This window comes from Homo sapiens, chromosome 19 (genome assembly GCF_000001405.40).
Source record: "Homo sapiens chromosome 19, GRCh38.p14 Primary Assembly".
Classification (NCBI taxonomy): Eukaryota; Metazoa; Chordata; class Mammalia; order Primates; family Hominidae; genus Homo; species Homo sapiens.
The window spans coordinates 44,426,254-44,449,784 of NC_000019.10; the positions used below are offsets into that span (position 1 = coordinate 44,426,254).

General features: G+C 41.5%; 1 protein-coding gene across 6 annotated transcripts, besides 1 other annotated feature; it reads right to left on the minus strand.

The window, feature by feature from the left end:
* ZNF229 (zinc finger protein 229) lies at positions 1–22,325 on the minus strand. 6 transcript variants are annotated; one of them, NR_103551.3, is made up of 6 exons: positions 22,056–22,219; positions 21,260–21,347; positions 16,561–16,771; positions 16,310–16,368; positions 5,514–6,113; positions 1–4,289 (listed from the first exon to the last, which is right to left on the minus strand). NR_103551.3 is itself a non-coding variant. In NM_001278510.3 (6 exons), the coding sequence occupies exons 3-6, from the start codon at positions 16,592–16,594 to the stop codon at positions 2,050–2,052; spliced, it is 2,460 nt and encodes an 819-aa protein (NP_001265439.2). In that variant the 5' UTR covers positions 16,595–16,771; positions 21,260–21,347; positions 22,268–22,325; the 3' UTR covers positions 1–2,049. The 6 variants fall into 6 exon arrangements, 5 of the variants coding, with proteins under 5 accessions (NP_001265439.2, XP_011525594.1, NP_055333.3 ...); NM_001278510.3 differs by lacking the exon at positions 22,056–22,219 and adding an exon at positions 22,268–22,325 and having other exon boundaries at positions 5,987–6,113; XM_011527292.3 differs by having other exon boundaries at positions 5,987–6,113.
* Positions 6,670–6,906: a silencer, noted in NCBI's record as "fragment chr19:44937098-44937334 (GRCh37/hg19 assembly coordinates)". NCBI's record gives its function as "represses an EF-1alpha promoter that drives an FKBP-Casp9 reporter gene in an ReSE screen in K562 erythroleukemia cells {active_cell/tissue: K562}" and the evidence as "EXISTENCE:reporter gene assay evidence [ECO:0000049][PMID:32094911]".
* Positions 22,326–23,531: the final 1,206 nt, after the last annotated feature.

Consider the following 23,531-nt stretch of genomic DNA (forward strand, 5'->3'; position numbering starts at 1 on the left):
TAGAGGTTACAACATGAATCTTTAATCATAAGGGATTGTTCCATCAGGCTAATTTATAAAAAATAGCTCTACTGTTATTATAAAACTGAAAGATACTTTGTTACAAAGTAAAATACATAAAAGTACAACATATGTATTATACATTCAGAATCCCACCACTAGAGATAAGTAGTTATATGTCCTCTCCCACATCTTTTTTTCTCTGTTGCTCTAAACATACACACAGAAAAACATACTAACAAAATGGGGTCATGCTATAATTGTTGTTCTAAAACTCTCCTGGTTCACTAAATACTTCATGAGCAACCTGCATTGTCATTATCTGTGTGCCTGAAGATTTCTAGTGGCTTTCCATTGCATACATATGCCTGAACTTATCTAAAAAATTTCCTACCAATGGAAACTGGAATATTAACATTTGCTATTTTAAAAATGTTTTAAATTTAAAAACTCCACCTTCTGCATGCGTTTTTGCCCAAGTGGGCAACTATCTCCCAAGTATCAATTACTACATATTTACTGCCACTTCAAAGGTTATAGAAATTGAATTGATACGTTAATGAATTCTTTTGAAAACAATGCACGGATTTTCTCTCTCACCAATAAGTACATAAGACTTATTACGTCCATTTTTGCACTGCTATAAAGAACTACCTGAGACTAGGTAATTTGCAAAGGAAAGAGGTTTAACTCACACACAGTTCCACATGGCTGGGGAGGCCTCCGAAAACTTAGTCATGGCAGAACGCAAAAGAGAAATAAGGACCTTCTTCACAAGGGGACAGGAGAGAGACAGCGAGGAAGGGCTACACCTTAAAACCATCAGCTCTCATGAGAACTCACTATCATGAGAACAGCAAGGGAGAAATCTGCCCTCGTGATCCAATCATCTCCCACCAAGGCCCTCCTCTGACACGTGGGGATTAAAATTGAGATGAGATTTGGGTGGGGACAAGAGCCAAACCATATCAGACTGTTTCTACAACCCCCCCCCCCGCCCCCACTGATGGGGGATTTGATGATTCTATTTTAATACTGCTAACCTGCAGGGTGAAATAGCATTTGTGATTTTTAAGATACCTAATATTTGATATGTTAAACTATGAAATGAACTGGAGCAAAACCATTATATTCATGACAGCAATAAAACAAATTCCTAGAAATATGCTTAAGATGACTCAGAACCTATTTTTAACCATCTCTAAGAAATATTACTGAGGGACCATATGAAATACTATCAGTGGTAAAAAAAAAGTCATTTTTTTAAAGTGAAAAAAAATCAGCATTTCAAAGACGCCACATTCTTTCAAAATTAACCTATAAATTCAATGCAATGCCAATTAATAAATTTATTTAATTAATAATTCAATGCAATGCCAATCAGATTTTGCTTTTTGAACCTGGAAAGAAGACATATTTCTGTAGTGTACTACAACTCCTCTGAAAGCTGTAAAGCTTACCTGCAAGATAAAACAGTCATAAAAACATGATAAAAATGTGAGACACACACATCACCCAGATCTGCCAAGAGAACTTTGTTCCTGGTCTTCTCAGAGTGACTTGTTTCAATAAATGTTAATGTTATCTTTTTGTTTTTATAAAGCGATCTTTAAAAAGATATGTACCAAACTGGTTTTAGAAAGGTGGAAACTTGTTTCTACACTGTCCCATTGGTAGCTATCAACCCACACAAAGAATCTATGTCCATAATTAGCACCTTGGAAACATTCTCACCACTTGTACATTGTAAAAGCTCCCTCCCAGGCAGATTCTGATGGAAGTGAGGATTATTACTGAAACCACTGCTGCACTGTTTCTTTAAAGCCTACTCCGCTGCACAACAGACTCTTAAAGACTGAAGTTTGTAACTGAAGTGCTAACCTATTTATCACACATCCAGGTGTTCCCTTCCTATGCAGACTAGAAAATGTAAAATCATCAGTTTCTCCTATAGCCCTCCTACATGTCACTTTCCTATGGTTTTTCTCCTGTGTTGGCTCTCAGATGGATAGAAAGCTCTGAGTCCCAGATGGAATCCTCTATGTACATCTACTTATAAGGGTTCTCGCCTAAATGCACTCTTTGGTGGTTCCGCAGACCTGAGGTATAACTGAAGCCTTTCCCACACACACCACACGTATAGGGCTTCTCTCCAGTGTGGACTCTCTGATGAACATGAAGACAGGAGTTGCGGCCAAAGCCCTTCCCACACTCCTCACATTTATAGGGTTTCTCACCAGTGTGGACCCTCTGATGACCTTGAAGATGTGAGCTCTGACTATAGCCCTTCCCACACACGTGGCATCTGTATGGCTTCTCGCCAGTGTGCACTCTCTTATGACTAAGGAGACCTGAGCCATATCTGAAACCCTTCCCACATTCACAACAAGTGTAGGGTTTCTCTCCTGTGTGCAACCTCTGGTGGGTGCGAAGATTAGAGCCATAACTGAATCCCTTGCCACACTGATCACACGTATAGGGCTTTTTTCCCGTGTGGACTCGCTGATGTTTGTGAAGGCTTGATGTGCACCTAAAGCCCTTTCCGCACTCTTGGCATCTGTAAGGTTTCTCGCCTGTGTGGACTCTCTGGTGAATGAGAAGCCCTGAGCTGTAACTGAAGCCTTTGCCACACTCAGCACATTTATAGGGTTTCTCTCCAGTGTGGACCCTCTGATGGATAAGGAGGTCGGAGCTGTAGATGAAACCCTTCCCACACACGTCACACACGTAGGGCCTCTCTCCCGTGTGGACCCTCTGGTGGCTGTGAAGGTCTGAATTCCGCCGGAAGCCCTTCCCACACTCACTGCATTTATAGGGTTTCTCTCCTGTGTGGACCCTCTGATGGATGTGGAGGTCGGAGCTCCGGCCAAAGCTCTTCCCGCACTCGCATTTGTAGGGTTTCTCTCCTGTGTGCAGTCTCTGATGCATGAGAAGCCCTGAGCTGTAACTGAAACTCTTACCACACACGTTACATTTGTACAGATGCTGCCCCATGTGAACTCTCTGGTGAGCTTGAAGGTACGAGTTGTGACTGAAACCTTTGCCACACTTGTCACACTGGTAGGGCCTCTCGCCGGTGTGTGTCTTCTGATGACTGCTGAGGTGGGAGCTGCAGCTGAATCCCTTTCCACACTCGCCACAGCTGTAGGGCTTTTCTCCAGGGTGAATGTGCTGGTGTTTGTGCAGTGCAGACTTGGCACAGAAGCCTTTGCCACACTCGCTGCAGGTGTAGGGCTTCTCCCCTGTGTGCAGCCTCTGATGGACTTGAAGCACTGAGCTGTAACTGAAGCCCTTCCCACACTCGCTGCATTTATATGGTTTCTCTCCAGTGTGGACCCTCTGATGGACAAGCAGGTTTGAACTTCGACCAAATGCCTTCCCACACTCCTCACATTTATAGGGTCTCCTTCCTGTGTGCACCCCTTGATGAATAAGAAGAACCGATTTATACCTGAACCCCTTTCCACAGACATCACATCTATAGGGCATGTCTCCCACAGGGGCTCTGGGGTGGTTACGTATGTGCGTGTTCTGTCTGACGCCCCGACCACGCTCAAGACTCTTAACAGATTTCTCTCCTGTGGGAACTCTTTGATGTCTGTTAAGATGGGCACTGTGCCTCAAGCCCTCACTAAACTCATCATATTGACAGAGTTTCTCTTTCAAAGGTACTCTTGGATGCGGGGGAAGGTCTGCATCGTCCCTGAAGCCATTTCTGTATTCGTTACTTTTCAAGCCATTCTCTCCAGGGTTAATGCGATGAAGTACAGAGTTTTTAATGCAGTCTTTTCTGCATTTATTGCAACCACACGGCTTGTCTATTTCAGGGAATCTGTGATCAACATGACAAGATATCCAGCAAAAGCTGTCATCATCCCAGTTACATTTATATACTGTGTCTTCTGTGTCGAGATTTTTACATCTTTCTTGAACATCCCCTAACTGGTTCACAAACGCTTTTGCCCAAGATCCTTGAATGGGGATTGGTCTTATAGCTCTCCAGGCTGGAAACTGTTGATTTTCTAGACCGATAAGCCCATCCCCTTGTAGACTGTCCAGGAAATTCTCAATTGGAAAACACGGCGTAGATGCTCCTTCCCACCCTTGATGGGGAGCAGCATCTTCTGAGAACTGGAAGTCTTTTCCTTGCAGATTTACTCTACAGTCTTGGCTCCCAGGTAATTCACCTGCCACCTCTTCCCAGATTTTGCATGAGGAGAGCTCTTTGTGTGAAAAGAACCTTAATTCTTCATCTTGAATATACTCCGTATCCTTTCCATTCTTGTCTCCTATGAGGTTAAAGACAATTCAGAGATGAGAACTAGTAAAAGACTGGCTCAGGGACATCAGACTTTCAGACTTGAACTAATAATAGCCTAGAGAAAAATTAGGCTTTATGTATCATAACTATTAGAGCACTTATGTTTATGACAAGAGGAGGCTCCTATTAATAAGTTTTGAAGCTAAATGCTAGTATGATCCTATTAGTACCAAACTATGTCTCATCATAGAATTGCCAGGCAAAAAAAGAATTTCGGAACAGATTTTTATAGAGAAAGTTCACTTCTTCGCTTAATAATGCTGTTATAACTAATAATATCTGACACTATTGTAACACTTCCTATCTGCCAATGATGTACACATATTAACTGACTTAAACCTCAGAATAATACTGAAGTAGAAACCATTATATTACCTTCATTTTCCAATGATGAAACCAAGTCAGAGAGAGGGTAGGTAACCTAGCACACTATTCCACCATACTGTGAGGCAGTGGTGGAGCTGGCATTTAAATGCAGGAAGCCCACACGGCCTTCTCCCTGCACTGTGTCTCAGGGGTGACTGTACTTCTGGGTATTTGTGAGCCATACTTCAGGAGGGTGCCAAATTTTCCAAAGTGCACCACCTGTGTCATCTTGTGTGAGCAGATGCAATAGGAATCCAGAAAATACTGTTAAGGCAGGAAGACACACAAATATTTGACTTATGACTATTACTTATGCCTTGAGAACCTTTGGATCCCAGGCTGCAAAGGATCAAACTGTCATATTTACCACAGTTCTGGATGATTTTAAAAATTTGTCCATGTTTTCTGATATTCTTTATTGCCTATTTTTATCTTTCAGGGCTTGGGTAACAAGAACCTGTTTATAACCAGGGACTAGTACAATACTAGAAGAAAGTGAGAAATTCATCTGAGGACTCTCAATATTCTGGGACAGTCTCTGCCACTGGCTTGCCTTCTACTGCCTGGCTGTTTCTATTAGAGGGACGGAAGTCCAGAGGTCCCTCGCTCATTCTGGGTATGATATTCTGTGAAAGGCATAGAGAAACCATGAGAAGGTAGGAACTGAACGGAAGAAATGAAGTTGCAGAATAATCATCTACAATGCTGCCAACAGTACCCACAGGCAAGACAAGGGGTGAGGAATGGGACCTCCTGTGGGCAAGCTCACTTCTCACTGCCCAGCAAGGCTCTTGTCTCCAAGACCTCTAGGCCTCATGGTTCTCACCTGGAGATGCATTTCTTGGAGTTTCTCCATCTGTTACCCCAGTCTTCAAAAATTCCTATGTTGAAATCCTAAATCCCAACGTGATACCATTAGGAGGTGGTGGGTCTTCCGGAGGTAATTAAGTCATGGAGGTGGAACCCCCAGGAAAGAAATTAGTGTCCTTAGAAAACAGATGCCCAGAGAGCTCTTCTCTGCTACGTGAGGACACAAAAGGAAGTCAGCTATCTGCACCCTGACAGAGGGTCCTCACCAGAACCCAACTATGCTGGCACCCTGATCTCAGACTGTGCCTTCCAGAAATAAACTTCTGTTGTTTATATGCCACTCAGTCTGGCAATTTTTTACAGCAGCTGAAACTAAGAGTTCTATAAAAATAGGATTTAACCTGTGTAAAAAAGCCAAAAATATCTTCTCTCCAGGAACAAGAACACTCCAAGAAGTTCAGTTCCAATTACCCAGAGGATTCCTCTCACCCACTGAGAGTAGGTTCCTGAAATTCTCCTGCATCACATCTTGGTACAGCTGCCTCTGGGTAGAGTCCAGCAGCTCTAGCTCCTCCTCAGTGAAGACCACAGCCACGTCCTTGAAGCTCAATGGCTCCTAAAATGAAAAACCATTAACACAAACATCTACTAGATGAAGACAAACTGGTGTCCACAGAGCAGGTTTATAGAAATAAAAAAATTTAAAAATCTGGATTAAGAAAATGTGGCACATATACACCATGGAATACTATGCAGCCATAAAAAATGATGAGTTCATGTCCTTTGTAGGGACATGGATGAAGCTGGAAACCATCATTCTCAGCAAACTATCGCAAGGACAAAAAAACCAAACTCCGCATGTTCTCACTCATAGGTGGGAATTGAACAATGAGAACACATGGACACAGGAAGGGGAACATCACACACCGGGGACTGTTGTGGGGTGGGGGGAGTGGGGAGGGATAGCATTAGGAGATATACCTAATGCTAAATGACGAGGTAATGGGTGCAGCACACCAACACGGCACATGTATACATATGTAACTAACCTGCACATTGTGCACATGTACCCTAAAACTTAAAGTATAATAATAATAAAATTAAATAAATAAATAAAAATCTAAACAATAAAGATAAACTGCATATCTCTAAAAAAAGAAGACAAGATAGCAGGAAGTTGTTCAGCCCGGTGTGTCAACTCCAGTTTATTAATGTTTGGTGCCAGTAATTTCAATTCTAACCAACTGAACTACCCCAGATATGCAGCATCAAGCAAGAAACACATCATATCCTGTGCTCACTTGGGGCACTTTTTTTTGGACACAGGGTCTCTTACTTTGTAGCTCAGGATGGCATGCACTGGTGCAATCACAGCTCACTGCAGCCTCAATCTCCAGGGTTCAAGCAATCCCCATGCCTCACTCAACCTCCCAAGTAGCTAGGACTACAGGCACGCACCACCACATCCAGCTAATTTTTATTTTTTTGTAGAGATGGGACCTTGCTATGTTGCTCCGGCTGGTCTCAAATTCATGGCTTCAAGTGATTCTACCATCTTAGCCTCACAAAGTGTTGGGATTAACAGGGGTGAGCCACTGATATTTGGATATTTGCCCACTGATATAGTTTGGGTATTTGTCCCTGACCAAATCTCATGCTGAACTGTAATCCCCAGTACTAGGAAGTGGGGGTGGGAGGTGTTTGGATCATGCGGTCAGATCCCTCATGACTTGGCGCTATCTTCATGATAGTGAGTTCTTGTGAGATCTGGTCATTTAAAATTGTATGGTACCTCTACCCCCGCCCCCCAACTCTCCCGCCACACTTCTTGCTTTAGGCATATAAAGTTCCTGCTCTCCTTTCACCTTCCATTATGACTGTAAGCTTTCTGAGGCCTCCTTAGAAGCCCAGCAAATGCCAGCGCAATGCTTCCTGTTTAGCCTGCAGAACTGTGAGCCAATTAAACCTCTTTTCTTTATAAATCACCCAGTCTCGGGTTTTTGTTTTGGTCTTTTTGTTTGTTTGCTTGTTTTTGAGACAGAGTCTTGCTCTGTTGCCCAGGCTGGAGTGCAGTGGTGCAATCTTGACTCACTGCAACCTTTGCTTCCCGGGTTCAAGTGATTCTCCTGTCTCAGCCTCCTGAGTAGCTGGGACTACAGGCATGTGCCACCATGCCCAGCTAATTTTTTTGTATTTTTAATACAGACAGGGTTTCACCATGTTAGCCAGGATGGTCTCGATCTCCTGAACTCGTGATCTGCCTGGGTATTTCTTTGTAGCAATGCCAGAATGGCCTAACACACCTAGCCCACTGTGAGCACTTCTTCAGGAAATTTCTCTGAACTGGATCAGGTGAATCACCTGTCTGCACATTTTATAATCTGACTCTGACTTGTAGATTGCCAAATTTTTCTCCAAGAAGTCTGTTACAATTTACAGTTCCAACAGTGCCTAGTTTACTGTGCCCATGCCTGCATGTACCCCGAAAACATTCTCTCTGCCAGAATGATGGTTCTTTCCCAATCATTCACTACCCTTCCATCACCAGGTAGGCAAATCCTGCTCTTTGCTACCACAGCCCCTCTTCCCTTCCACACTCTTTTTAAGGGACTTCCATGTCAACAACTGACAGAAATCAGCTAATTTATGTCATGCAACCATCTCCTCAACCAGGTGAGACCTCAAAAGTAGCATTTTGAACCAAGGAATTTCAAACTATGCTGTGTCCCCTTCAGCTACGAATGGTGGCCTGTGTTTTTAAAGCTAATTGTTCCAGTTCAGTGAGAATAAATGGCAGTCATGTATTCTGCAATACAGTGATCATCAAAATATTACTGTAATATCATTGCTGTCTTCACTTGGACAGTGGCAAGCTTTCTTGAGAACTGCATATGAGGGCTCTCAGAATTATACTTTGCCTTCAGCATGTCCCTGGAGTACCTGCGACAAGGTATTGCAAGTTAAGAATGAGATGAATGCTTTCACTTGACTTTTTTATTTAAGTCATGCATATATTTTTGATACGAAGGAATGGTAGCTATAGAAAGTTTTAGTGCATATTACATGGTTTGTCTCTGTCCCCACCCAAATCTCATCTTAAATTGTAGCTCCCATAATTCCCACGTGTTATGGGAGGGACCTGATGGGAGGAAATTGAATCATGGGGGGTGGGTCTTTCCCATGCTGTTCTCATGATGGTGAATAAGTCTCACAAGATCTGATGGCTTTATAAACAGGAATTCCCCTCCACAGCCTCTCTTGCCTGCCACCATGTAAGACATCCCTTGCTCTTCCACCATGAGTGTGAGGCCTCCCCAACCATGCGGAACTGTGACTCAAGCCTCTTTCCTTTATAAATTACCCAGTCTCGAGTATGTCTTTATTAGTAGCATGAGAACAGACTAATACAGAATGCATACCATATTACTTTTTCAAGAAATATTCAGTACCTATAAAATAATGTTAGGCACCAGGAATTAGAGAGATGAGCCAAAAAGCTAGAGTTTCATGGAGCTAGTATTGGCAGTTCCTAAAACCAGATCCAGGTCGTATGATTGGCCATGAGGACTCACAGGAGCTGATATACAGTGACACTCATGGCTAAGACTTACTACGGTGAAAGAAAATAAAACACAATCATCAAGGGGAAAAGACGCATGGGGTGAACTTGGAAAGAAACCAGGTGCAAGCTTCCAAGAGTCCTTTCCTACTGAAGTCACACAGATATGCTTAATTCCTCCAAAAATAAATTGCAACAAGGCCTGTGAAATGCTGTCTATCAGAGAAGATCAGCGGAGACTCGGTGCCCAGGGTTTTCATTGGGGCCTGGACACATAGGTACCTCCTGACTAGCACATACCAAAGTTTCAGACTTCCAGAAAAGCAGGTTTTCAGTAGAAACCATATTGTTTGCAGACAGTCCAGGTACTGTATGCCATTCTTATCAGAAGCAATGTTTACAGAGGCAAATGCTTTGTTTGAGAAAGTAAAACTGGATCTAAATTCTGAGGCATAAGTAGAAATTAACTGAGGGAAAACAGAGGAGAGAAAATTCCACACAGTGGGAACAGTTGGTGAAAACCCTTAAGTGGTAAGAAGCACGGCACATGTATCTTAGCCTCAGGCAATGCCGCTGTGAAGTAGGCGGTGGCCAGATCACTCAGGGCCTCTTAGGCTACATTGATGATTTTGGTCTTTCCCAAAAGCAGGAAACAAATAAACACTGAAGGGTAGTTTACAGTGGGTAGTGATAAGATTAGGTGAGCTGTCTTAAAATTATGAACCCGACACAGCATGGAAAAACATAGCAATGGATCAAGTATAGATACAAGGAGACCACATTGGAGGCCACTGCAATATTTACAGGGAGACATGTTGGCCCGGACTCGGACATGGGAGGATTACTTCAGCCTAGGAGTTTTACATCAGCCTGGGCAACATGGCAAGACCCCATATCTACAAAAAATAGAAAAAGTAGTGGCATGTGGTAGTGTGCACCTGTAGTCCCAGCTGTTCGGGAGGCTGAGGTGGAAGCCTGGGGGTTCAAGGCTGCAGTGAGCTGAGAACGTACCACTGCACTCCAGCCTGGGTGACAGAGAGAACCGTGTCTCAAACAACAACAACTACAAAAACCAACACCAACCCAAAAACCACCATAAAAAAAGGGCACCATTACTAAGTTCTAGCCAAACTTTAATTCCAACACCATTTTTTTAATCAAATTTCTAAATTTCAAAAGTAGGTGTTTAAGCCAGGCACAGTGGCTCCTGCCGGTCATCCCAGCACTTTGTGAGGCCAAGATGGGAGGATCACTTGATTCCAGGAGTTTGAGACCAGCCTTGGCAACATAGGGAGACCTACATCTCTACAAAAAATAAAATAAGCTAGGTGTGATGGCGCACCTGTAGTCCCAGCTACTTGAGGTGGAAGAATCACTTGAGCCTGGGGGGTCAATGCTGCAGTGAGCTGTGGCTGCACCACTGCACTCCAGCCTGGGTGACACAGCGAGACTGTGTCTTAAAAAAAAGTTGGTATTCAATGCAGATGTACAAGTAACTCGGTGAACCAGAGCACAGAATGCAGGAGCAGTCAGGTCCATGTGAAATATCAATCAATTGCTGTATTTCCTTCTGTCTTTGTATTTGATATGTATACATACATATATGTGTGTGTATATATATATATTTTATATATTTACATGTACAAACATAAATATATATATATTTACACACACACAAATGAGGGTGGTATTTTGGTTGACTCGAAAAAGAATGATTGATGTAAAAATAACATTTTCATAACTGGCTATCCATCTTGAAGAAATGAACTTAAATGTCAACCTTATGTCATTTACAAAAATAAATTACAGTTATACTAGGGATAAAACATTTTTTCAGACCTTGCTGATGAGAAAAACATTTTTAATATAAATATTAAAGAGCCATTTAGATGACTTTTTGATTAATCTGAGAATGGATAAGGTCTTTTGAAACTACATGAAACTAAATTTTCAAAAGGGAACTAATAAATCATTTAACTATATAAGAACCTTAAACTTCTTTACAGTTACCATTAAGAAAGTAAAAATTAAGAAGACATACATGCAGCCAACAAACATATTTAAAAATGGTCAACATGACTACAGAAATGAAAATCAAAACCACGAGATACCACCTCACCCCAGTCAGAATGGCTATTATTAAGAAGTCAAAAAGCAACAAACGCTGGCAAGGTTGTGGAGAAAAAAGAACATTTATACACTGCTGGTGGAAATATAAATTAGTTTAGACATCATACAAAGCAGTGTGGTGATTCCTAAAAGAACTTAAAACAGAACTACCATTCAACCCAGCAATCCCATTATTGGGTATATACCCAAAGGAATATAAATTATTCTACCATAAAGACACATGCACACACATGTTCACTGCAGCACTACTGACAATAGAAAAGACATGAAATCAAACTAAATGCCCATCAACAGTAGACTAGATAAATAAAATGTGGAACATATACACCATGGAATACTATACAGCCATAAAATAGAATGAGATCATATCCTCTGCAGCAACATGGAAGGAGCTGGAGGCCATTATCCTAAGCAAAGTAATGCAGGAACAGAAAATCAAATACTGCACGTTCTCACTTATAAGTAGGAGGTAAATGATGAGAACGCTTAGACACACAGAGGGAACAACAGACACAGAGGCCTACTTGAGAGTGGATAGTGGGAGGAGGGAGAGGATCAGGAAAAATAAATAATAGGCATTAGGCTTATTGCCTGAGTGACAAAATAATCTGTACAACAAACCCCCATGCCATGCAATTCACCTATATAACAAACCTGCCTATGTACCCTGAACCTAAAATTTTTAAAAAAGTAAAGATTGAGAGAAAATAATTATAACACTTTTGATAAGTGTTTAGAAGGGCTTCTAAAAACATGGTAAAAATGAATTAATGAGAAAATAGGCAAAAGTATTTCCTAAGCAATTTACTGATGAGAAAATACAAATATAGCCAATATACATATGAAAAAGTGCTTATCATGTTTACAATGCAGGAAACTGCAAAATAAAATGGGGCATCTTTGCCACATATCCTCCATCAGATGAGCAAAAATATTTAGTACTAATCATTCTTGGGATTGAATGTGTGCAGAACAGCAAAAATTGCTATGATTTCTTCTCAAATATTGTGGCAATAATATATTAACAGTTTACAACGAAGTGTGTGACGCTGTGAAATAGATATTTGGTCTCTGTGGCATATAACTCCAAAAGCCCTTAGAAACTCCACCGTGATGTCTTTTTCTATGCTAATGGGTTGACTAGTAGCTGGCAGCTGGCAGGTAGCTTCAGGATGGGGCTGCTTACTGGAAAGAACAAGGAAGGATTAGAGGATTAGACTTATAGTACTTCCCCCTCCCCCAACCTCCAGTGAGGGGAGAGGAGCTGAGGGTGAAGTTGATCACTGGTGCCTACCTAATGAAACTTTCATAAAAACCTAAGAGGACCAGGTTCAGAGAAATTCTGGGAAGGTGACATGCCCAGAGAGGGCATGGAAGCTCCATGCCCCTTACCCCATACCTTTGCCCCATGCATCTCTTCATCTGTATCCTTTTGTGATATCCTTTATAATAAACCAGTAAACATAAGTGTTTCCCTGAGTTCTGTGAGCTGCTCTAGCAAATTAATCAAACCCAAAGAGTGGGTTGTGGGAACCCCAACTTGCAGCTGGTTGGTCACAAGTTCTGGAAGCCTAAACTTGCAACTGGTGGGAGGGAGGAGCAGTCTCTTGTGGGACAGAACCCTCAACCTGTGGGATCTGACACTACCTCCGGGCAGACAGTGTCAGAATTGAACCGAAGGGCACCCAGCAAAACTGCCACAAAACTGATTGCTTACTTGAGGAGAAACCCACACACATTTGGTCACAGAAGTCTTCTGCCTGTGATTATTGTTGCTGAGTGTCAGAATACAAACAGCACTTAGAGTTTCAGTAGCTTTTTCCACACTAAGTATACCCCTTTGGGCCAGCAATATTCAGACATTTACATCATAGAATTTAAAGATTAAAGAACAGGATGCAAAAATCACATGTGTTTGTACTGTTTGTAGTGCTAAAACTGGTAGTAATCAGAACTGAATATCTTATGGTAGTAAAATACACACTACATGGAAAGCATACATGTTTCCATTTCCTTTTTTTTGAGATGGAGTCTCACTCTGTCGCCCAGGCTGGAGTGCAGTGGCATGATCTCAGCTCACTGCAACCTCCGCCTCCCAGGTTCAAGCGATTCTTCTGCCTTAGCCTCCCGAGTACCTGAGATTACAGGTGTGCGCCACCATGCCCGGCTAATTTTTTTACTTTTGGTAGAGACAGGGTTTCACCATGTTGGCCAGGGTGGTCTTGAACTTCTGGCCTCAGGTGATCTGCCCGCCTTGGCCTCCCAAAGTGCTGGGATTAGAGGTGTGAGCCACCATGCCCAGCCCCATTTCCTTTTTAAAAAGAAGGTAACATATATTTTCACATGACAAAGATATTGATGGATTCACACCTCTTTGTTAATGTTGGGCATATTAGCGAGGACAGTTGGGGGAACCTAATTTATTTCATTATAGACCTTGGTATGGTCTGTCTTCTACTAAATCTTTATTTTAAAAGTTATAATGAAATATATATAAACTAGTATTATTAACATGGCTGAGCTACAGAGGTTTAATACTATGAGTGAGTATGGCAGACAACCCAAAAACATCTCCATGGGAGTCCCACAGAGTCTCACAGTTGTAAACTGCACAGACCATCTTAACACACAGGACTCAAAAAGCTACACCCACTCAATTTTTGTGTAGGGGGGAGCTTGCTAGAAAAAGAATTAATCAGAAATTTTTTAAGTGTAAAAAAAATCGCAGCTAGGATTGGAAGAAAAAAACAACTTAGAGCTTAGCCTAAACAGATGAATGAACATCCAAGAAGAAAGAACTGTAAAACAGGACAGGATTCTGGAACACAGTGGAAAATGGCAAAAAGAAAGAAGAAAGAAAAGAAAAAGAAAAGGAAGAAGGAAGGAGAGAAAGAGAAAGAGAAAATAAAGTGAAAGAATAGGAAGGACAGATCCAGAAGTTACACCATTTATCCAGTAGGCATTCCAGGAAGACCAACTGGATTAAATAATAGTAATAATTGACATCAGGCACAAACAGAATTAATGCCCGAGAGAACAGAGCAAGGAAAATAAAGTGTGATCCATGAAAATGCCACACACCCAAGCATAAACACAACAGATGCTTCTAGAAAAAAATGACAAGAATGAATTTAGCTCACCAGAAGGTGAATGGAGAAGCCACAATACAAAGTCCTACACAAGACTTAATACAAGAAGAAAATGACACAACCTGTACTGAGTCCAGAAAGTGTGAATGAAGAATTTTAAGCCCTGGCAACTTGCAATTTGAACATAAAACCAACATTCTTTTTTTTTTTTTTGAGACAGGGTCTCGCTTTTTCACCCAGGCTGGAGTAGAGTGGCATGATCTTGGTTCACTGCAGCCTTGATTTCCCTGGGCTCAAGCAATCCTCCCACTTCAACCCCCAAGTAGCTGGGACTATAGGAATGCACCACCACACCCAGCTAATTTTTTAGTATTTTTGTAGAGACAAGATTTTACCATGTTGCCCAGGCTGGTCTCGAACTCCTGAGCTCAAGTGATCCGCATGCCTCAGCTTCCCAAAGTGCTAAGATTACGAGCCACTGCACCTGGCCCACAACATTCTTAAACTTGGAAAAATGCAGAGGATACTATAGCCAAGTCTTTGGCGTGGGGGAACAAAAAGACTGCATCCAAAGTCTTTGTAGATGAAATTGAGGCAACCAACAAATAAATTCAAGTAAGAAAGTTGTGGTAAAAGGAGAGGCGGTGAGCAATGACTTAAATACACAGAAGTGAGTCTCAACTGGGGGAACTTATGGTGACGAATCAGAAGATAACAATGACAATAACAATATAATAACAATCAGAAGATGGTAGGAAGTAAAAACGTGCTAATTGCTTCAACTTTCACAGCAGGAAGTAATCAATAATATTTAAAATTAAGGTACACAGTAAAAGAAGTGAATCAAATCTTCAAAATTATTTCACAATCTCTTTTCATAAAAAGAAAGGTTTAGAAAATAATGTTTCATGTGTTGAAAAAACATACTTAAAATTCTGCAATGGCTATGATTTTTTTCAGTTTAAAAGAAAATTAAGAAATATGTATATACTAAAGGATAGCCTATTTCCATATCCCTATATTTTCATTTACTTTATATCGCTTGATAGCAGCTTAGAATCTAGACAAAAGAACGAATGAAACTACAATTCACTAATTCAATAGATGAACATGGAATCCATATCACTATATGTGTGTGTACATATATATGTATATATATTTGTAGATATGTGTACATATATGTGTATATACACATTTGGCTGTTATGAATGATGCTGCAATTATCATTCTTTGCACATTTATTCTGACTTAGAAAAAATTCTTAGAGTGGGAAATGCTCGACCAGAATAAGGAGAACTTCTAGAAAGGCAGAAATACTCCTGCAGCTGTGTGGATGTACCCATTTCTCCATATCCCAGCTAACAGTGCATGTTGACCTTTCAAATCTTTGGCTGTCTGCTAGAATAATCATAAATCTTATTTCAATGTGTATCATTTTGATTAATAGAGGCTTATAGTCTTTTCATATGATTAGTGGGCATTAGTTTTTCTCTGCTCCCTTCCTGAACAAGAATGCTCAGGTCTTTATGCATAACCCTCTTCTGAAAATAAGGATATTAAAATTTTGTCATAGATGAAACTTTTCTAATATGTTTTTCTTTTTTTAACTTTGTGCATGGTATACTTTTGGTAGGGTCTACTACATGGAGAACATTACATCTATAAATGAATAACGTTCCACAGAGGAGAACAACCCAGGCAGCGATGATTCAGTATTTGGAGAGTCATCTCTCTGCTAATCTAGGCTTGGGCCTCTGCGTGAAGCTATTGCGGTGGCAGGAAGGCATAGCGGAAAGGTAGATTATCGAATCCAATTGACCTACCTGAGTTCAAATCCTGGATCCCCCATTCATTTCTTCATCTCTAAAACAGAATCATACTATCTGTCTCACATCACTATTTTGTGGATAAATGCAACGAGAAATGTATTCACCCAATACATTTTTCGCTCTTTTTCCTTTTACCGAGAAGGGACGTATGTTTTCTCTCTGATGCCTAAGGTGGTATTTCGGGAGAGAAAAGAAAACAACCCACCTGAGACATGATCTTCTCCTCCCTATCTTGGGAAATGGCTGAGGCTTGAGAATGAAGAGCTGTAGGAGGAGAAAGAGGCCATGAGGAGGAGTTGGTGCTGCCTGAAGCTCTAGATCATCTACCTGGTAGGAAGGTGCCCAGCTTTACAGACTGGTTTCTTCTCACTTGAGGAAATTCCTCAACATCCAACTTTTTCTCCTCCACACTCAGTTTGGATTCTCCCCCCACCCACCCCCTCTATTAGCTGTCACCTCTTTTCTCATGCCTTGAGGTCAAAGTCTCCATGGTCTCTTCTGCTAGGTTCTCTGCGAGCAGCAGCAACTGTATTTATTCTCTGGTTTTCCTAAGCTGGAGACGCAGAAGATCCAGGCCTTTTTCATTCCGGAAACTCTCCAAGCTCTGACAAGTTCCTGTCTCCACCTTTACTGTCCAGAGCGCGACTGCTTCCCATGGTCAGGGGACCTGTAGGTTCGGGAGGGAACTTTACTTAGTCCTTTCTTCTGGGCCCCAAGGCTGTGGTTCACATCCCCTGGATACTATTCATTCAGTAGTTTACAGGACATTTACTGAGTACTTGTTAGGTTTAGTCCCCTACTCTGAAGGGGCTCATAGTCCACAAAGCCAAGAGTGTTGCAGATGGGTAAGGACAGTCACAGAAGAGTCTGTGAGGAGGGTCCTGCAGCTAAATTCTCAGTAAGGCACAGGGCCCCTCAGAAGGGCAGAGAGACCCCACAAATATATGGGACCTGTGACCTGTGAAGAAACACCTGGAGAGGAAAAGCTTTATTAACGCAATACTGTTTGACTTGCAAAAAATAAAATACAATAAATCCCCATACTTAGGGATTATAGAAATCAGGATATAGATTAGAGCCATCTTTAGTCAGCGTTTTTAACTTTTTTTGTGCCATGGCCCCCCTTCACTAATCTGATGATACCTAAAGATCCCTACTGAGAATAAAGTTTTAAATGCATAAAATGAAATGCAAAGAATTATATGGAAATACAACCTTCAAAACTATTAAAACTCTGCATGGCTCACTGTGCAAGTATAGTGCCACTTTATTAATACATTCAATATAAACAATAAATTTAACTACAATTTCAAAAGAGTAATGAGCATAAACAATACTCTGAAATATTTGCACAAACCAGAATATGACATAAAAATATCTATGATGTATATGGATGACAAAGTCACAAGTACTGCTAATAATATTGTGGCTTAGCACCTATGTTCACAATGAAATGCTACTTGTGACTTAGACTAGTATAATTTTTTTCCCATTCAAATTCATGGAACTCCTGAGTTATGCTCATGGAGCCCAGGGCAAGAATTCCTTTTCAAAATTAAGCCTCTTCTGCCCCGCCCCACCCCCCAGACTGAATTAATTACTCTGGGATCCAGCAACACATGGTATAAATTGCTGGTTACCACCTTTCACACGGCCTCCATGGTCAGATCTCTAAGTCATCAAAATAATTGAGTCTTCTTTTTCTTTATTTACCTTTCATGGCTCTGGCACACGGGAAGCACTTAAGGGTCCTAAGCAATTCTATCAGCAGGAGGTGATGCACACAGATTGAACAAAACTCTTACAATCTGCTCAGAGCTACTCGGGAGGTAGTGCAAAGACAGTGGACATGAGTTTCCACCCTTCCCCACCTTGCCTGGCCTCTTTCCTCTTGAAATTCAAGTCTCAAGGTCAAGTTCAGACAAACAGATACACATACTTGGGCTGTCTACTCTAGGACACTCACTGGATTTTACTGCTTCAGGAACTCAAATCTCCTTCTTTCCTCTAACCATCTGTACCAGCCCTCTGCATGGCCCACAGTGACAAGCATCTTTCTCTCTCCCTCCCTTCATGCACTGCCCTGAACTGGGGATTGCCCTTTGACCCAGGTGTGGACAACCAGGCAACACGCTACCCTCCTACACAAAGGACAAAGGGAAGAGTAGAGGCCAGATCTGAAACAAGGCCTCCACCGCAATGCCACTTAAACTCAAACTTCAGGATCCTCTAGGACTGCGCTTTGCAAACTTCAGTATGTTTAAAAATCACCATGAGCAATGATGAAAACAGACTGCTAGAGTCCAGCTCCAAAGATTCTAATTCTGTATCTCTGCAGTAGAGCCCAGGAGTCTGTGTTTTAAACGTTTCCAGGGGATGCTGACAAAGTGAGTCCAGGGGCCACACCTGAAGCAAACTTGCTAAGTTACCCTCACTTCCTCTGACTGGCTGATTTTCAGGGTTTCCAGAGACTTCCGGTGGGTAAAAATTTTCCTTGTGCTTCCTCCTCCTATCCCTGAACTCTTCAGGTCAGGAAGCCTCAAGAGTCAGCACATAAAGTTCTCTATCTTCTTTCACTCCCTTGGTGAACATATCCAGCCTCAGGCCTTCAACACAATCTACACACTGATGACTCCATGGCAACCTGCCATCTCCACTCTTATGTCTAAAAAGCAACTCAAAAAACATGTTCAAAAGAAAAGTCCAGATTTGCCCCTAGAGGTACTTCTCTCCTTTGAAATGAAGAGGAAATATTCTAGTCATCCTTGATTTCTTCCTCGTACTCTACATCCAATCCATCAGCAAATACCTACAAATCAGAACCAGAATCAGATTATTCTTGCTGCCACCGTCCACACCATCATGTCTCACCTGCATTAACGTGACAGCCCCCTAAATGGCCTCTGCATTCCTACTCCTGTTCGTTTCAGTCTACTTCCTACACAGCAGCTGGAGTGATCTTTTAAAAATATAAACTCATATTCTTCTCTGGCCAAAACCATCATTTTACTCAAAACCTTGCACCAAGGTCCTTTCAATGGCCCAAAGACCTTACACTATCTTCCTTCCCAATATTCAGTTTCCCACTTATCCTCCCTCTTTCTCATTCTGCTCAGCTCTGGCTTCCTTGCTGTTCTTCACATGCCCTCATCACCGGGCCTTCGTGTTGTTCTCTTTGCCTTTTTCATCAGATGCCTGCAGGCCCCTCACCTGCTTTGGGTCCCTATTCAAGCACCATTTTCTCAGTGAAATTCATCCCTCATTATCCTTCTCAAATTGGCAAACCAGCACTTCCTACACCCTCCTCTGCTTCATTTTTCTCCATGAAACTGACACCCTACCTACAGTCTATTTTTCTTGTTGACCATCTTTCTCCACCCACAAGAATGTGAACTCTATGAGGGCCAGTATTTCAGTTGGCACCTGGCACACAGCAGGTGCTCAATAAATATTTAAATGGGAGAACGGGAGTAACCTGAACTCAGCTTGCTGATATGGATCCTTGGGTCCTCTTGATGTCATCTTCACAGCAGAAGTGATTTTCTTCTCCAGTTCATGGACTTAGTAATTTGGGTGCTAAGGACTATGCTGGCTGTGTTGGGACCCAAGAGTGAACAGGGCAGACAACGACTCTGTGCTCATGCAGCTGCTAACATTCTAGGTGGAAATCAGCAGCCATAATGAATATCTACTGTGTTCCATGTGCTTAGGATACATTTCTGGACTGCATGGAGCTCACATTGGGGGAGAAAGAGGGTGACAGAAAGAGTTGGTACAAAGGCAGTGGGACAAAGAAGTAATGGGAATAAGAGATAATTGCAGAGGTAGAAATAACAAAACTAAAAGAATAATTCCATGTAGGGATGAAGAGGAGGAGAAATAAATATGATTCTGAGGTTGAAGTCTGAGGAAAACAGGTAAATTATGAAGTTATGATAAAATAATAAGATAGCAAAAGGGAAAGCAGGGTTTTGAAAATTGCAGCTCTAGTTTCTCAAAACTGGAGTTATCAAAAGGTTTAGGTTCGAATTCTGGTTCAGCCACTTTGTAGTTATATTAACACCACAGGAGAGACTTAACCTTTTGAATGAGTCTGTACTTCTGTCAAATAAAGATAATCCTTACTTGCAAAACTAAAATAATTTAAGTTTTTCTCTCTTTCACACACACATGCCTATGTGAATAAACTTCAAAGCCCAGTACGTGGTACACAGAAAATCATCAATATACTATTACCATTGACCCAACCCAGCATTAACCTAGGAATACAGGAACTCATGCATTTAGTAAATGTACATTCAGTGTCTAACAACATCTTAGGAGAATAAACACTAGACATACAGCAGTAAATTAAGATGGAAAAGGTAATTGTTCTCATGGTGCTTACTTTCGGGTGGGTTAATCTCTCTACAAATTAGGTGACCTTTGGTTGCAAAAAGGGCTATGAAGAAAATAAAGCAAACATGATAGATTCCTGTTTTCCAACAAGAATGTAGGTGCTATCAGGTGAACATATGTGGCAGCTGTGGAAAGAGCAACATTAAATCAGGTGGTCAGGGACAGTCTCTAAGAGCTGCCTGACAAATAAATCAGCTGTGAAAAAAGCTGGGATGAGACAAGTCCAGAAGGAAGCATAAGCGCAAAGACCTGGTTTCTGTTTAGAAGGTCTCCTGGCCAGGTCTTACCTGTTAAGTTTTTTTAACTTTTTAAACCTTAGCAACTCATCTGTGACATGGGGATAATAGCTAACATACAAACTTGCTCAGAAAATTCAATAGAAATACATTCATTTATTCAAATATTTATTGGCAAGCCTGGCACTGTCCTAGACACCATGGATAAATAATACCTGGCATATAGTAAGCACTCAGTTAATATACACCATCACAGTTACTCTAATTATTTCTACCCTGCGTTTCTTCAGCATGGCGCTGAAACAGTGTAAGCCTTTACTGACCCAGTGACACACTACTAGGAGCCAAGAAGAGAATACACTAAATAAAGACACTGGGAAATTCCTCAAACCTCCCCCATTTCTAGGGGAAGGCAGGTGTGGCTAAGGGGTCTGAATGAACATTTGTGATATCAATGGGATGAAGAATGAGGTCACCAAGAGACCTGGCATTGCCACAAAAGAGAACCAAAGTTCACTCACCTGGAGCTCTAGTGTCAAGAGATGTGGGGTTATTTCTCCTTCTTTTATACAATTATCTCCGAGAAACGAACAATTCCAAGAAGGAAGCCTGTGAAAGAAAAATGAACAGCAGGATAACATGATTTAATCCCAATTCCCACCACGCCACAGGGGGAAATCTCTCAGTGCCAGCTGGATGTAATCTACCCCTTCCTGTAATCTACCCTCGCTACTTGCTTCAGGAGCCGAGGAAAAGAACCTCTCTTCCTACAGGACTCAGAGTACAAGGGACACGCCATTCCTGATGCCCAAAGAAACCGTCTACAAGCCTACTTTCACTGCCCCTTTCAGGAGACAAGGAGAATCAAGACAAAATCTCAAGATTTTAATCCAGAGCTGACTGTCACATGCTGTGGGACACTTACAAGTGAAATTCTGCCTGTGTGTGCTTAGGCGGCTACAAAAAGCAGAGCCAGCAACGATACAGCAAACCAACTCCTAGGACTTGCACAGCGCTTAATACATTTCAAAGGATAAAATTAGAACACAGGGAATCAACTTCCTGTTTACAGAAATGACTTCGCAGAAAACTCTGAAATTACTCCACAAGTGGGTGGGCGGCTACCCTGAGAAAATTCATGTCATCGATCCGCAACTGACACAGTGGAGTCTCCCGCACTGCAGATCTCATCTCAAAGCCAGAGCTGGCCTCAAACTGCTTTTCCAAGCCTGGACTGCGAGGGCTGCCGACCCGGGCCCACCCCGCACAGGCGCTCAGAATGTTCGATACGTGCGCCTCCTTACACCCCTGCCTCACCAGGCCGAGCTCATGGAAATCCGTGGGCTTCGACCCTCCGCCGCACGTTGTCCCTTCACACTGGTCCTATAGAGCCGATCCTAATTCCCATGGCCTGACAGTACAACCGCATGGAGATGCACGTCTCTAAGACGCCTCACCACTGCCTAAGAAGCAATCAAGGTGACGCGCCCACCGGAAACGGAAGTAGTCGACTCGAGGTGTGGGACTACCTTTCCCAGAACCCTCCGCAGCGCAGTCCGATCCTAGGGGCGATGGTGTCGTAAATGCGCGTCCACCTCGAGTCACGCCCACTGCGAGGCGGCGGGAGGCGGCATGCAAGGTGTTTCTGAGTTGAAAAGAATGTCTTTACTCAGTACTAACATATTCGCGTTGTAGCAAACCTGACTATATTCTCAAACAAGCCCATCATCCCATCACCAGGGATATAAAGCATTATTGATTTTCTGGTGTAAAAGCCAACTAAATATTTATTTCAAAAGTAGTTCATATTACATGTAAAGAATGGTTTAAAAAAAATTCTTACTTAATCCCTGGTTTATGTGAGTAAATATGAATTCTTAAGAATCCCATTTCCCAAATGGCATCATAATATTTTGTAATCATTTCTTGCCACAGGTCATATATCGTGGATAGTTCTGTATGTCACAAAAGACGTAGAGATACATAGAGATAATAAAAAAACACAAATTATTTGCAATACTTGCCTAGCATTCTTTAGTTTTTAGGGAAGTTACCCCTTTGTCCTGCATTGAACTTACACTTCTAATTTTATGATATCAAAACTACACACAATCACTTTCTTTAATATTTTCCCAATTTGATGGACTAAATATCCTGTCTTATTTTCCCAATTTGACAGAGTAAATATGCTTATTACCGATTGCATTTCATTGTCATCTTTTATTGTCATACACTCTCTGTGTATGAATGATATCGCTTCTAAGTGATGAATTGCTCCCCCAGTTTCAACATTTATAAAGTAGTTTAGAAAAAAAAAAAAACAAAAAACTTCATCTGACAAGGTATATCAGTCTTTTCATTTGTGGCTTCTTTTTTTTCTCCAGTATGACCAAAAAGACATTCCTTAGCCTGATTCCCAATAAGTGCATATCTATATTCATTTCAGGCTCTTTCATTTTTCTTTTGAATCACCGCGTGATTCATTTAAGTGTATGATATGAAAGGAAGATGGAGTTTCCTGTTTCACCAAAGGATTGTCTACTTTTCTTAACAAAATTTACATAAATATTAATTCTTTCCTTTCTGATTTAAACGGCATCCTAATCACTTACTACATTACTATATATATAATGAAATATTTTCTGGGATACAAGTGTGTTCTGAAGATAGAGATTGCTTTTTCTGTGCCATGATGAAAGGTTTCAGTTACAGTGATAACTCATTTCCTTATCTCTCCCTCCTTGTTGTGTTTCAAAAATTTCATCCTAGAAGTTCTAGAACTCTCTCTTATAA